This window comes from Homo sapiens, chromosome 4 (assembly GCF_000001405.40).
Source record: "Homo sapiens chromosome 4, GRCh38.p14 Primary Assembly".
Classification (NCBI taxonomy): domain Eukaryota; kingdom Metazoa; phylum Chordata; class Mammalia; order Primates; family Hominidae; genus Homo; species Homo sapiens.
In genome coordinates this window covers 46,079,471-46,093,186 of record NC_000004.12, presented here as the reverse complement: position 1 = coordinate 46,093,186, position 13,716 = coordinate 46,079,471, and the positions used below count along the sequence as shown (strand labels likewise).

General features: G+C 33.2%; 1 protein-coding gene across 1 annotated transcript in view; it reads left to right on the top strand.

Annotated features, from left to right (window-relative positions):
• GABRG1 (gamma-aminobutyric acid type A receptor subunit gamma1) overlaps positions 1-13,716 on the top strand; it is an 88,286-nt gene that overhangs the window by 30,868 nt on the left and 43,702 nt on the right. Inside the window, exon 3 of the mRNA NM_173536.4 lies at positions 9,134-9,201. Within this exon, the coding sequence (NP_775807.2) occupies positions 9,134-9,201 (68 nt within the window). The remainder of the gene's footprint in view (positions 1-9,133; positions 9,202-13,716) is intronic.

Sequence of the window (13,716 nt, the reverse complement as noted above, 5' to 3'; positions counted from 1 at the left end):
GGAAACAATCTTTCTGGTCTGTAGAATACATTTTGCTATAACATTTAATTTGATTGATATTATATATCTATATGTGTTTTCTTTGAGTTATGATTTGACTTTTTTTTTTTTTTTTTTAAGATGGAGTTTCGCTGTTGTTGCCCAGGCTGGAGTACAATGGTGCAATCTTGGCTCAATGCAACCTCCTCCTTCTGGGTTCAAGCAATTCTCCTGTCTCAGCCTCCTGAGTAGCTGGGATTATAGGCATGCGCCACCATGTCCGGCTAATTTTGTATTTTTAGTAGAGACGGAGTTTCTCCATGTTGGTCAGGCTGGTCTGCTGGTCTCAAACTCCTGACCTCAGGTGACCCACCCACCTCGGCCTTCTAAAGGGCTGGGATTACAGGTGTGAGCCACCGCTCCTGGCCAATTTGATTTTTTAATATCTTTTTTTCATACTTTAGTTTTCAGTATTTTTGTGTCCTTCATTAAGTAATTTTTTTTAGGAAATATGTATATTGTTCCTATTTCCTAATTATCAAGTCTGGCAATTATTTTCTTTTAAATGGAGTGGTTAATGCAGATATGTTTAAGGTAATTATTGAATATTTTGTGTTAAATCGACTACCTTTCTATTGTTTTCTGTTTTGTTAAGCTATTTAATTTGTTCTCTATTGCTTATATTTTTCTCTATTCTTTCCTTTTTTGAATTCATTAAATATTTGCAGTTTTATTTTATCCTTCTATCATTGCATTGTACACATATTCATTTATAAATTTTAGTCAGTAAAATATGCACTTTATTAGATTTAATCATAAATCAGTAAGTTTATCATAATTCAAAGAAATTTCAAACCTTTTTCCATAAACTACAGTGTCATTTTGCTATTATGTCCATATGTTTTATTCTATATTTATCTGAAATACCAAAAGACATGATTATTATTGTTTTAAGGTGTTTAAAAGCAATTAACTTATACCAATAAATTATCATTTCTGGTGTTAATTCCTTTCTTAAATACCCTATTTCCACTTAGAAATATATTCTCTGCAGTATTTCTTTTGGTGCAAGTCTCTCGAAATGGAGTATTTCAGTTTTATATGAAAATTATTTTGTATTGCCTTCATTTTGAATATTTCCAATCGATATGGAAACCCTGTTATTTCCTTTCCAAACTTCATAAATATCACTCAATTTTCTCCTGACTTTTACTATTTCTGTTGAAAAGTCACATTTCAACATTAATCGTGCTATTTTGAAGATAAAATGTATTTTATCTCTGGACAATTTTAACATTTTCTTAGTCTTTGATTTTCTACCATTTTATTTTAGTGTCCCTAGATTTGCTTTGTTTTCATATTTATATTGAGGAGTTTACAGAGCTTCTTGAATCTGTGGGTTGAAACATAGCTGCTTTTGAAATTCTCGGCCTGTATTTCATCAGACATTTTTCTTCTGTCTCAATTTCTCTGCAACTCCACTTGCGGGTATGTTTGACCTCTGCTATGTCATTACATCTCATACGCTCTTCTATAATTTTCTCCCTATTTGTGTTTCAATCTGCTCTTTATTACCGACCTAATTTCCCGTTCAATGTTTCTCACTGGTAGTATTTACACCTGATTTTTAAATCAATTTCAGGTATACTATAATATTTGCAATCTTTTCTTCTATTTTCTTATATTTATTAACAGAAGTTATTTTAAAATCTTTGATCATTACGATGTCTTGATAACTTGAGTAACTTTTTAAAATTTTCTTTTCCATTGTTTCTCTCTGTTTAAGGTTATGTGGTTGTATTTCATGGAATGTGTCTTAATTTTGTGTTGAATGCGAGTAGGGTATGTGAAAAATAATGGAGATTCTACATGACATTATTTTATTCCAGAGAGGACTTAATTTTGTTTCGATAGTCAGGTTGAGTAAAGAAAATCACTGTCATTTGGTCAGAACTAGCGTAATTTCCTTGGTAAAGCTTTTATTTTGCCTAAGACCAACCATTTGAGATGTCTGGACTGACAGCCTGAGGTTTGTACCAGGATCCTCTCTCCTTTGTTAGTCAGACATCCCTAAAATAGCTCAACTCTCTTCCTGTTGTTTTAGATGCTTAGGAGCTGCTTATATTTGGTTTGTCAACATCACATACGTACAATTTAGGAAACAGCAAATGCCTTGAGGGGAAATCCCATGTAGAATGTCCGATTAAATTCCGTGTGTGTGTGTGTGTGTGTGTGTGTGTGTGTGTGTGTGTATGTGTGTGTGTGTGTGTGTGTATTCCAGGGAAGTCCTAGCTGTCCTGATAGCCCTTAATTCGAAGTTTTGTCTCTCCAGCCAAATAAAAGATCTAAAAGCTCTAAGCTGCTCTGTTCTGTTCAGTCACTATTGCTGTGCTGTCAAACAGCAAATATACCAAGGGGAAGAAGTGGCCAAAGAGTAATGTAGAACTCACGTCATTTTCATTATCTTCAGGGAATTGTTACATCAAATTCTGGCTATCTGATTTGCTCTGCTTTCTTCACCATCTGTGTGTGTTTATTTAAAAAAAATTTATAGTTTTCTTTATTGGGTTGGATATTTTGATATCAATTAAACCACAAAGGAAGCATCAGAGTCTGTATTTCTGTTTTACTCCTTATACTTTACTATTATTATTTTGTGTCTGTTTTCTCTATATATAGAGAACTATATATAGTTCCCTAAAACTATAAATCACTATATTCCTAATTGCTAAATCAATGCTTAAAATATAAACTAGGTTCTCTTAATATTTACCAAGTATTTGTAGAATAGAATCCATTGTATATAGTCTTTTTTAGTCCATGTGTAGGTATTTTGATAGTTGCCCTACTCCATGAGTTTTGCATTTTAGGTACATTTATTTCAGATCAAGCTATGAATGCTCAAATTTTATATACAATTGTGATAGCATCACTGTGTTTAATACATTAGGTTAAATATGTCCTGGATACCTTGATAACTGTATCATGAATAGTAGCATTTTTTTCTGTGCATCTGACTACATCATAGGTGACTTAATTGTTGAAGTAATTTTTGTATGTATCGCTTTCTGTCCAAAATATGTTTTAGTACCCTTTGTCTTTGGTGATGCTATGAAAACTTATAAAACCAACTTATTGAGGTCTTCTGAACTTAATGGAGAATTAACATAGAAAGGTTTTGTTCATCCAGTTAAGCTTCCATTGCTTTATGATAAATATTATTTTCCTATGTTTTTATTTTTTTGAGGCATGGTCTCATGCTGTCATCCAGGCTGGAGTGCAGTGGTGTGATCATAGCTCACTGCAGCTTCAACCTCCTGGGGCTTAGCTGATCCCTCCACCTCAGCCTGCTGAGTAATTGGTACTACAAGCGTGCCACACCCCGCACAGCTAATTGCTGTATTTTTTGTAGAGACGGGGTTTCACCATGTTGCCCAGGCTGATCTCAAACTCCTGAGCTCAAGCGATCTGCCTGCCCCAGCCTCCCAAAGTGCTGGGATTACTGGCAGAAGCCACCATGCCTAGCCTATTTTCCTACTTCTTAACAACTTTACAAGTAGATTCTATGACTTTCCAAACAGTTTCAGTTATTTAAATAGTTCAACCTAATATAAAAATTTAATATCCAGATTAAAAGACATCCTCTCTTGAGACACAGGTAAGACAAGCACCACTAGGGTGACACTGTGGGGGTAAGAGGATGGTAAGAAAGGGAGTAGTGTGGCTTGTTGTTTTATTCCATCTCTTTATCTCTTCTATGTTTCTAGCGATGGGGACATGGGGGAGATATAAAGAAGATTGGTCTACGTTTTAACTGGGCATAGTTGCAACCTTAGTCTTGTTACTTGTTACTTCTTTTTGGGGTAACATCAAGTGGCCTTAGGTGTAAGTTAAAGGCTTGACGTATAAATAATGACTTTTATGGTTAGGAGGTATAAATAATTTTTTGTTGTTTTTCATAGGCATTGTATATGGCTCAATTCCCTGGCTTGGGAAATCTGGATGCTCTTCTGTATCTTCCACCTGCCTTAACTCCTTTCATCAGCAATCTAGTCTGAAGATATGTGCTGCTGATGCACAACTCTCTTGAGGTCAAAAAACCTGTGAGACGCTGCTAACCAAGTTATTTTCTTTTGGCGTGCTTTATACCCACAAGAAAATAAAATATCCTAAAAGTGCTAAAGAGTAGGTGTGCAGCTCTTCCTCTGCTTTTTCTTCTTTAAGTCCTATCACTTCTATTTTTCCTTTTCCCTGATCAGGTATGGGAGCAAGAGCAGGTTGCCAAGTCTGCTGCCTAAACATATATTTAAGTAGAGAATGAGAAACCAGCCTTCAATTTTCCTGAGAAGACATTCTTGGGAATACACACACACACACACACACACACACACAAACACACACAAACACACACACACATGCCATTTAAATATAGATATATGGGGTGTGTGTGTGTGTGTGTGTGTGTGTGTATTTTATAGTGGGATATACACTATACCATGCCTGTATTGTAAGGTGCGAAAAGTAATTTATAATGAAATATTTGGCATTCTATATGCGAATGCTCAGGTTTAACTACACTGAAAGAAATTATGAAGCTTCCAGATGCTTGCATTTATACACAGAATGACTGCATATTGGAAAGCCTGCGCAAGTTAAGAGATACAAATGTGTCTTATCAGTGACTCCAGTACTATGAGCAACATTGTGATTGGTGATATGGCTATCTAAAATGGTGTACAACATTTTGTAAAAGTCAGAACAAAATAAATACCATATTTCTGTGTTTTGTTTTTCAGGAATTCCTAGCAAACACAGAAATATTTTGTGTTTATGTGTAAAAAAACTTATCTTCTAGGTTCAGACTATAAGGCATACTGTTTTACCTATATGAATGCTAGACAGGATATTCAAAATCTTGTTAAATGTGGGACAATTTTTCATTACATATGACTGTTTTATGAAGTTCAAGCACTTCATCCACTAAACACTACTACTAACAATCCCAATTTTTGTGACGAACACAAACAGCTGCCCAGAAATTTTCAAAATAATTTACAGGCGACATGGTGTTCTCATTGAGAACCACTGGTGAACATTGTTCATTAAAACTTACTGAAATGATAGAAATGTTGTTCTGTATTGACCATTTTTGGAAGCACTGGCCACAAGTGGCTGTTCTGTACTTGAAATGTGATTAGTGTGGTTAAGAAATATTTTTATTTCATTTAAATGCAATTAATTTCTATTTAAATTTAAACAGCCATATGTTTCTACTGGCTACAGTATTAGACAGCTCAGCCTTAAGAATCTACTTATCCCTATGTACCTTTTCATCCACATATATCTAAATGTAACCTGGAAAGGTTGATTGTCAAGTGGTGTTTGACATTTCCTTGTTAATTAAGGTCTCACAAGAAGTATCTAAACTCGAGCTTGGTATCTATCTTTGGGTCAAAGACTTCTGCTGTATAGTCTAGGGAAACTGGAACATGTTAATCATAATTATTTCAAAGTCTATATGTGGTATGGACCTGGAGTTTTCCTTCTTGGGACATGTTTATAAGCTCTACCATTTAATAACTATAGGTTTTCTGTTAACTAGATCGATATTTTATTTTTCTCAATTTTATAACTTGTAACATTATTTTCATTTTTATTTACTATTGAAAAATTTATCTCCTCCTGACTTTTTCCTGATTCATGGATTATTTTTTAAATGTTATTTAATTTCTAAATATTTAGGGATTTTTAAAGATATCTTTTTTATTAATGACTTCTATTTTAACTTTGTTGTGGTCCTAGAATATACTTATATTATTTCAACCTTATATAAGCATGACACAATAATGAAAACCAGGAAGATAATATTGATATATTACTACCAGTGAATACTTGGCCCCACTTCCCAATTGTCTCAATAACGTATTCACAGAAGGATGATTCAGTTCAGAAATAATATTACATTTTTGTTGCTTTACTAGTGAATTTCACCACATATAGAAGAAAGAACTACTATAAGTCTTACACAAATTCTTTAAAAAAAATAGAGAAAGGATACTCAACTCATTTCACTAAACCAGCAAAATCCTGATAACTAAACCAGCCAGGGATATTACAAGAAAAAAAAATTATACGCTCATATCTCTCATGAATGTATCGGTTGAATAAAACAGTTGGTACATTTATGAGAAACAATTATTTGCAGGTAAAAACAGTTGACTCCCTGAATAAACTTTCAGAAAATCATAGAGGCTGCTCTGCCTATGGAGTAGCCATTCTTTTATTCCTTTGCTTTCTAAAAACAAAACAAAACAAAAACTTGCTTTCACAATAAAAGAAAATATTCATAGAAATTTGAGTAGGTTGATAAAAATAAACCTGTATATGGGCAAGGACCAGAAGAGAGTCCAAAAGCAATCAGTTGTGTAAGAGTATTCACACTAGGTGGTTGCTTGCTTTCTTGGAATTGTACCTATATCATTTACAAACAATAATATACTTGGTGAAATGAAATATTTAAATTTGAAGTAAAATTTATATAACATAAAATAAAGAAAAAAAATTATGTGTGATAACTGCAATATCTGAATAAGTGGGACTATTTCTCTTTTTTAAGGCCTATTCTGTGACAATAAGAAAAGTCTATAAAACTCTCCAGGATTAGAGTTTTTAATTGACCTAAATTAATTTTAATATACAAAAGTGACCAAAAAGCTACATAATCTGCTAAAGATATCTTAGTGAAATTAGAATAGTGTGTCCAAGAAAGCATGGTTAAAATCAATTATAAAGAAAAGATTTTTAAAATCTATTGTAGTTTATATTTTCTCACTGATATACCAATTACCCACCTCTACAATTGGCTGTCCTAACTATTGCCTTTGCTACTTGGAATCTGAATGTGGAAACTTTATTGATCACACAGCTTTTTTCTTTTTAAAATTTTAAACTTTTCTTCCTATTTCTGTTTTCTGGATGTTCTTTAAATTGCCCTGAACCTCTAATCCCACTGGGAGAATATCTACTTATATCCTGTTGAGCAACTTAAAGCAAAGTACTTAAAATAACAGCACAGAAAGAAACCTTGCAAAAATAATCCAGTGTCATCTCTACCTGCCTTCACATTTATATATACATATGTGATTTGCCATGGCAGTACATGGTTTTCTCATGCATTGTTATGCTATTGCAAAAAAGAGATCTTTGATCTCCATGTGTATTGATGAATTAAACATAGTCTGTGCTTACTTTCAAGATGTTATTTAGAGTCTGGAATGACAATTTTCTGTTAGTTTTATTTTTCTAGTTTTAAATTAAAATATAATGTCTTAGTTTTTGAACATCACTCATATCTTGCAATTGAATAAACTTTGGATTGAGAAAATCATAGTGCTAAGAAAGAGTACTTAGTCAATTTCCAAAAGCCTGTATTTTAAGTAATATTACTCATTAGTATTGTTCATAGTATGAATCAAAGCAACAATGAGTCATTATTAAGAAGCAATTACAGATTTCTGGTTTTTTTTCTTAATTATATTTTAAAGCATATCACCAGCCGTGGTTTCAAAATTAATATGAAATATTTTAGTCTACTTCCTGGTTTATTCATCTTTGTCGGTTGCTGCTGCAGATTCAAGGATCAGATCAAATAGCATCTCAAGTTTACAAAATGGTGAACAGAATAACTCAAAAAGATTCGTCATAGCTTTCACATACATATTTAACAATTGTTAACTAAGTATCTTCTATATTAGTAGCAATATTGGACTTACTGATATGATTATTCTTTTGTCTCATTCTGGGTGCAATTGCTCTATGCTCATCATAAAACACTTCAGTATCTCTGCTTCTATGTAACTCATGCTAAAATGCCAGAGTTATTTTTCTAATGTATATGTTTATCTTATAATTGGCTAAGAAATGTTGATGTCAGGAAACCAAGACAGTTAACTAATATCTATAACCTCTGACATTGTAAATGTAGAAAACATTTATCCTCTAAAGAAAATTGTCCCAGGAACAATTTCCCTCTCAATGTAGACAACGTTCAGCTTTGAATATGTGAAATAAAAGTAGGCACTCGGCGTTTGCTGATTTATCAGTTTAACTGAAAAAAAAAATCTCTTATTATATAAGAATGGTATATTGTTTATACCAGTTATAACTACTTATAAGTGGTAATAAATGTACTTACAGATGGAACTAATAAATCTATTGTCTCGTTGTTAATTGACTTTCATGAAAATCATTCTGTAAATCTAACTATAACTGGCTTAATTTTATATTTATTGGCTACAAGTCTTAGCTAGTCAGAAACAAAGGAGAAACAGTTAAAGCAACTCATCTCAGAAGTCATCAGCCTATGTTAAATTGTAAAACCTTCTATAAATCATATGACCTACTTTTATTTAAGATATCTAATTGATGGCTAGCAAATGGAATTGCATTTTCAAGTATTGTGTAGGTCTAGAAACATAGTTTTGTGTACTAAAATTAAATCTGTGTTATTAAATACGTATGCAATATAATAAAATTTTTGCTTGAGGAAAAACAAACTATGTAAGTGTTGTGTGTTTTATTAAGTGTATTTTTAATTGCAAGGGGTAAAATATTGTTCTAAAATTTGATAGACATTGTTTTACAAAATGCTTCAAGTTTTTCACTGAAGTTTGGTAGCTTGAGGGCTCTGTCAGATTGAAAAATGCCAAGACCAGGAGACTGAGACTGAATAGATATTCAGCCTGCCAGACTTGTGTGTGTATTAAAAGAATAAATACATCTTGCCTGGTCAATCATAGCATTGCGATTATGAGTGATAAGTACTCGGTCATATAGGAAAAACAGATGAAGTTTGAAAAGGATAACTGAGCATGTATGACTAAAAACATGCCACAATAACAGAAACTTTCAGTCTACAAGGTCATTTTTCTGCATTATCTCATGTGCTTTATCTCTATATAATTATCTGTGACTGATTTGCAAACCAAAAAGATTGTTTTTTATAAAGGCTACATTTCTGCATTTCATAATAAAAGATGTTTTATGATTGAAGTGTTAATATATAAGTAGTTATTAAGATTTCTTTAAAACTAAGATTTATTTAAAACAATGTCTAATCATATCTTTGACCTTTCTTTTTGTTGATATTTTGCAGTGAGGCCCACAGTAATTGAAACTGATGTTTATGTAAACAGCATTGGACCAGTTGATCCAATTAATATGGTAAGTAAGAAATATTAAAAATAATAACTGCCACAGAGATCTCTCGTGTATACCTCCAAAATAGAATTCGCATGTGAGTAATTTTTTATAGTTAATTCTGAATGAATTCAGATCAACATGTACAATTACTTTGTGCCAGGTATTGGCAACTGGAGCTAAACTATACCTGTATCTAAGAATCTGTATCTTGTTATTCCAATGTGCTGTGTTTGGTAGAACTATGCAACGGCATAACAAATTATCATCTGATCCACCAAGAAGAGGTCCCTGAAGAAATCTGGAAAGAAAAAAAATCAGGAAGTCTGAGGGGAAAGTAGTCAATCAGAGAAAAAAAAGACTTACTGGCAGAGAAAGCAGCATGCACAAAGTCACAGAGGAATGAAACAGCCTGATAAGATCAGGGGGACTTCCAGCAATTTGATGTTACTGGAATATAAAGTGTAAAGTAAGGAATTGAGGCAAAAGGGATATTTAAGGATCTTATCAAGGACAGTCTTGTAAGCCATCATAATAGGAAGCTTGTAAATTGTATTATGTATAAATTGTATCCCTTGGGAGAAGATAAATGACAGGAAACATTTTACCAGGGGAGTGTCAAATGCAGATGTACATTTTTAAATACATCTCTCTTATAGCAGTATAGAAGATGGAGGTAAGAGTCCAAGTTAGGGTTACAGAGACCCATTACAGGTTATTGTGTTAGTCTGGACAATAGATCTTCAAGGGCTTACCTACTGCAGTTGCAATCAAGCTGGAGATGAAAATAATACATTTTTTTCAAAATAGGTAATTTTTTGAGAATTTGGTGACTTATTAATTATGTGTAACCTGACTCCAAGGTATTGAAATGAAGAGACTTTGAAGATGGTAGAGTCATTATCAGATGTAGGAATACAGTGCAGGCCTATGTACCCCAAATGCTCATGGTGCATTCAGCAGGAATGGTCCAGCAGCATTTTGCCTTATAGATTTGCTATCAGGGAAGAAGTTAGGACAAAATATAGATGTAGATGAGAAAGAGAAAGGAGACAAGCAGTATATAATAAAGCTCAAGACATTAAGAATGTGTGAGATGATCTAAGAGAAGATTCAGATTAAGAAGATCACAGATCTGAGGACCAGATGGTGTAATGAGATGAATGTATGTAAAATATAGTTGCAAGAAAGAGAAGCACAGAAAGGGGACATATTCAGAAAAGTCAGAAGGGTAGGAGCAAAACCGAGAGAAGATGATATTATAAAATCTGAGAAAGTAAAGAGGATAAAGAAGGAGGGAATGATAATGAGTTACAAATGCACATGAGAATACAATAAAATGGATTAGATAGTGATAACTGGCATTCACAAGTAGGTGGTGTTGATTAGCTTTGTTAGGAGAAATTCAGTTGGAATGGTGAAGGCAGGAAAGGGATAACAGCTGGATTGCATATCCCTCCTTCATCTTCAAAATTGATCTCATGTCCAAACTTTTTGCCATGGATCCCTGAGAATAAATATGGTTCCTGCAGGGATAGTGATGTAGTCATGTGCTGGTTTCTGGGTGCTAGGGAGTGAGTGGGAATGTAGATTTAATTTTATAAACTACTATTTTGAGAAACATGGCTTAGAAGAAGATGAGATAAGAGTATGGGAGTAGAGAAGGTAGAGGAGAGAAGAAGAGAAATAAGGGAGGGAGAGATAATTTGAGAAAATATCAAGAAAAGACCATTTAGAATGAAAACTGAGAAAGTGTGATATTCATTTTTTATGTTTTATACATAGAATAAATAGTGTTTTATTACTAATGAAGAGCAAAATTAACAATGCCAATATGAGCAACCAGCATTATTTTAAAAAAGACTTCATAATGTTCAGTTCCAAACGCTAATAATCCCATTTCTGTGAGTTCAAACTACTGGATCCCATGGAATGCATTCAATAATGTCTTCTACTCCTCTCCTTCGCTTTTGCCTTTGGTATTTGTTCACTAGGGTTGCCACAACGAAGTAGCACAGACTGGTGGTTTAAGCAACAACAATCTATTTCTTGCAGTTATAGAGGCCAGAAGTCCAAGATCTATGTCATTGGCTTGCAGACAGCTGCTTTCTCACTGTGTCCTTACATGGTCTTTTCTCTGTGCCTGTGCATCCCTGATATCTCCTTTTGTATCCAACGTTTCTCTTCTTATCACAAGTCATATTGTATTAGGGCCCACCCTAAAAGCCGCATGTTGACTTTAAATGCTCTGCCTTTAAATATAGTCACATTCTGAAGTTCTCGGGATTAAGTCTTCAACATATGAATTTAGGGGGTTCAGCCCATAAGACTTCCAAAGATAATTCTCAAATATCTTGCTGATTTTCCTCTTCATTTTATTTATTCAATATTATAATAGTCAAATCATCCCTTTATTACAGGCTTTACCACTTTATAGCTGGTGAACCTTTATAATATGCCTAACAGTTGCCTATGTCTGCTTACTCCTTTGGTGTGACAGTCACACTCAGTTTTTCTCCTACTCAATGTAATCTTCACATGACTCTCATTAACTTTTACAGCTGTCTGCACTGATTACTGTAGTGATAGCATTCTAGCCATGCCATAAGTGACATCTTTGTCACATTAGTGCAAGAAAATATGAACTGGCTGTGGATAAATTGAATTTGAGAGGATGAAGGAATGTTCCAATAGACTGACCTAGAAGTTAGTCTTAAATTAGGGGCTAAGATTCAGGGAAAAGTTGAGGCTGGGGCCAAATCTTTGTCAGGAATTTGCTAAACCTCTGTGAGATGGGGGAAAACAGCCTTAAAGTGAAGAGAGAAGAACAAAGAAATGAATAGCAGACCTTAGGGAACACATGTATTTAAGGACCTGAAAGATGAAGCTGAGATAGTAAATGAAACATCAAGGTTGGCAAGAAAGTGACAAAACAATGACGTGGAAACCAAGGGAAGAGAAAGTTTCAACAAATCTTTTTAGTATTAGTTCTACTCAAACAAATTACTATACAATAAGCTGATTTTTGCAAACAGAAAACTTTTAATATACACGTGTAATAGGTGCATTTTTAACAATATGCAAATATCAGATTTCATAAAGTAGTACATTGCTAAAATGTTATATTTCTTCTTTAGTGGAGTATTGTAATGTTTAGTTTCTAAGTAACCAATGCCTAGAGAAAAGAAGCCTGTTTGAGCATATGGGAATGTTGGCATTTTCATGAATTGTATATTTTTCGTTTGGGGTTTATGTTTTCAATTTGCATGAATATATTAAATAAAAATATGGTCATTAAAGTAAAGAGAAACAAGATTCAAGGATGTATTGGTATTCTAGAAACACTTTGACAAGAATGGCTATCACAGACTTTTACAATGATCTTCCTATATAAAAGATTAATGGTATTAAAGATTTAGTTTCCCCAGTGGAGCAAATTACACACTTGTAACCTTCAACAGTGATTGTTTAAAAAAACCTAATTAAATAAAATTGCTATTGAAACTAGTGATACTAAAACAGGTGAAAATAAACAAATAAAAGAACCCCATGGAACACTTGATAATGTTTATTAAAAAGAAAAGCATTGTGATACTAGGGATGAATAAGAAATAGGTTAAGTAGAAGACTATTTTAACTAAACAATACAGGGAAATTAGAATTCACTTTTCATAAAATGAGCAAAATTGCTTTGAATGTGAGTGTAATCAAGGAAGCAGATTTGAGCATATTTAAGCAAGAGGGTGCCACCCCCTTAAGTACTCATATAATTTAAGTGACCAGTAAGAAACAAAATTAATATATTAGTTTTTTTTAAGTTAGCCAAAATTTGTTTTGCTGCAAAATGGGTGTTTCTTTTTAAACTTGGATACATAAAATGCATTTCCATAGATTTCTGAATAATGCCTAAAACGACATTATTCTACAATGGAATATGCTTTTCTTTTTACAGTCAAAATGAGTAACAGATGCACTAATGAAGACTGGGGAAAAATAGAGTAACTTGGAAAGAAGCTGTTCAATTTTATATATGGTTTGATTATAACTATCTTCAATATAAGCAGAAGAAAAATATGCAATCAGAATTGAAGTCAAGAACATGTTACTAGAGTTTATGAGACAAAATGGTTATAACCTCGTAACTTTTCAGATTTGGGGGATATTATGTATCTTTACTCTTCTGAGTAAATATCTCACGGTGTTGGGTACCCTCTGACTGGCAAGTACAACACTCAAGGGCCATAGCAATTCTTTAAAGCCAAGTCAAAATTGGTAAAAGCTCCAGGAAATTCAAGATGATATTATGGGTATCTAACAGGAGGCTACAGTATAAGATTAGTAAGTACAAAAGTAGCTACCACTAAAAATTCCAGGTATAATTTGGACATGAATTTAATTGTAGGAACTGGTATACCCTTATATAATCCAATATTAAGAGATGACTAATATAGAAACTTTGAAAGTGAGGGACAAGGAACAACTAATAAAAACTACTTAGATCCCAGTTCGCATCTGCAGAACTTAATTTAAATATTTTCC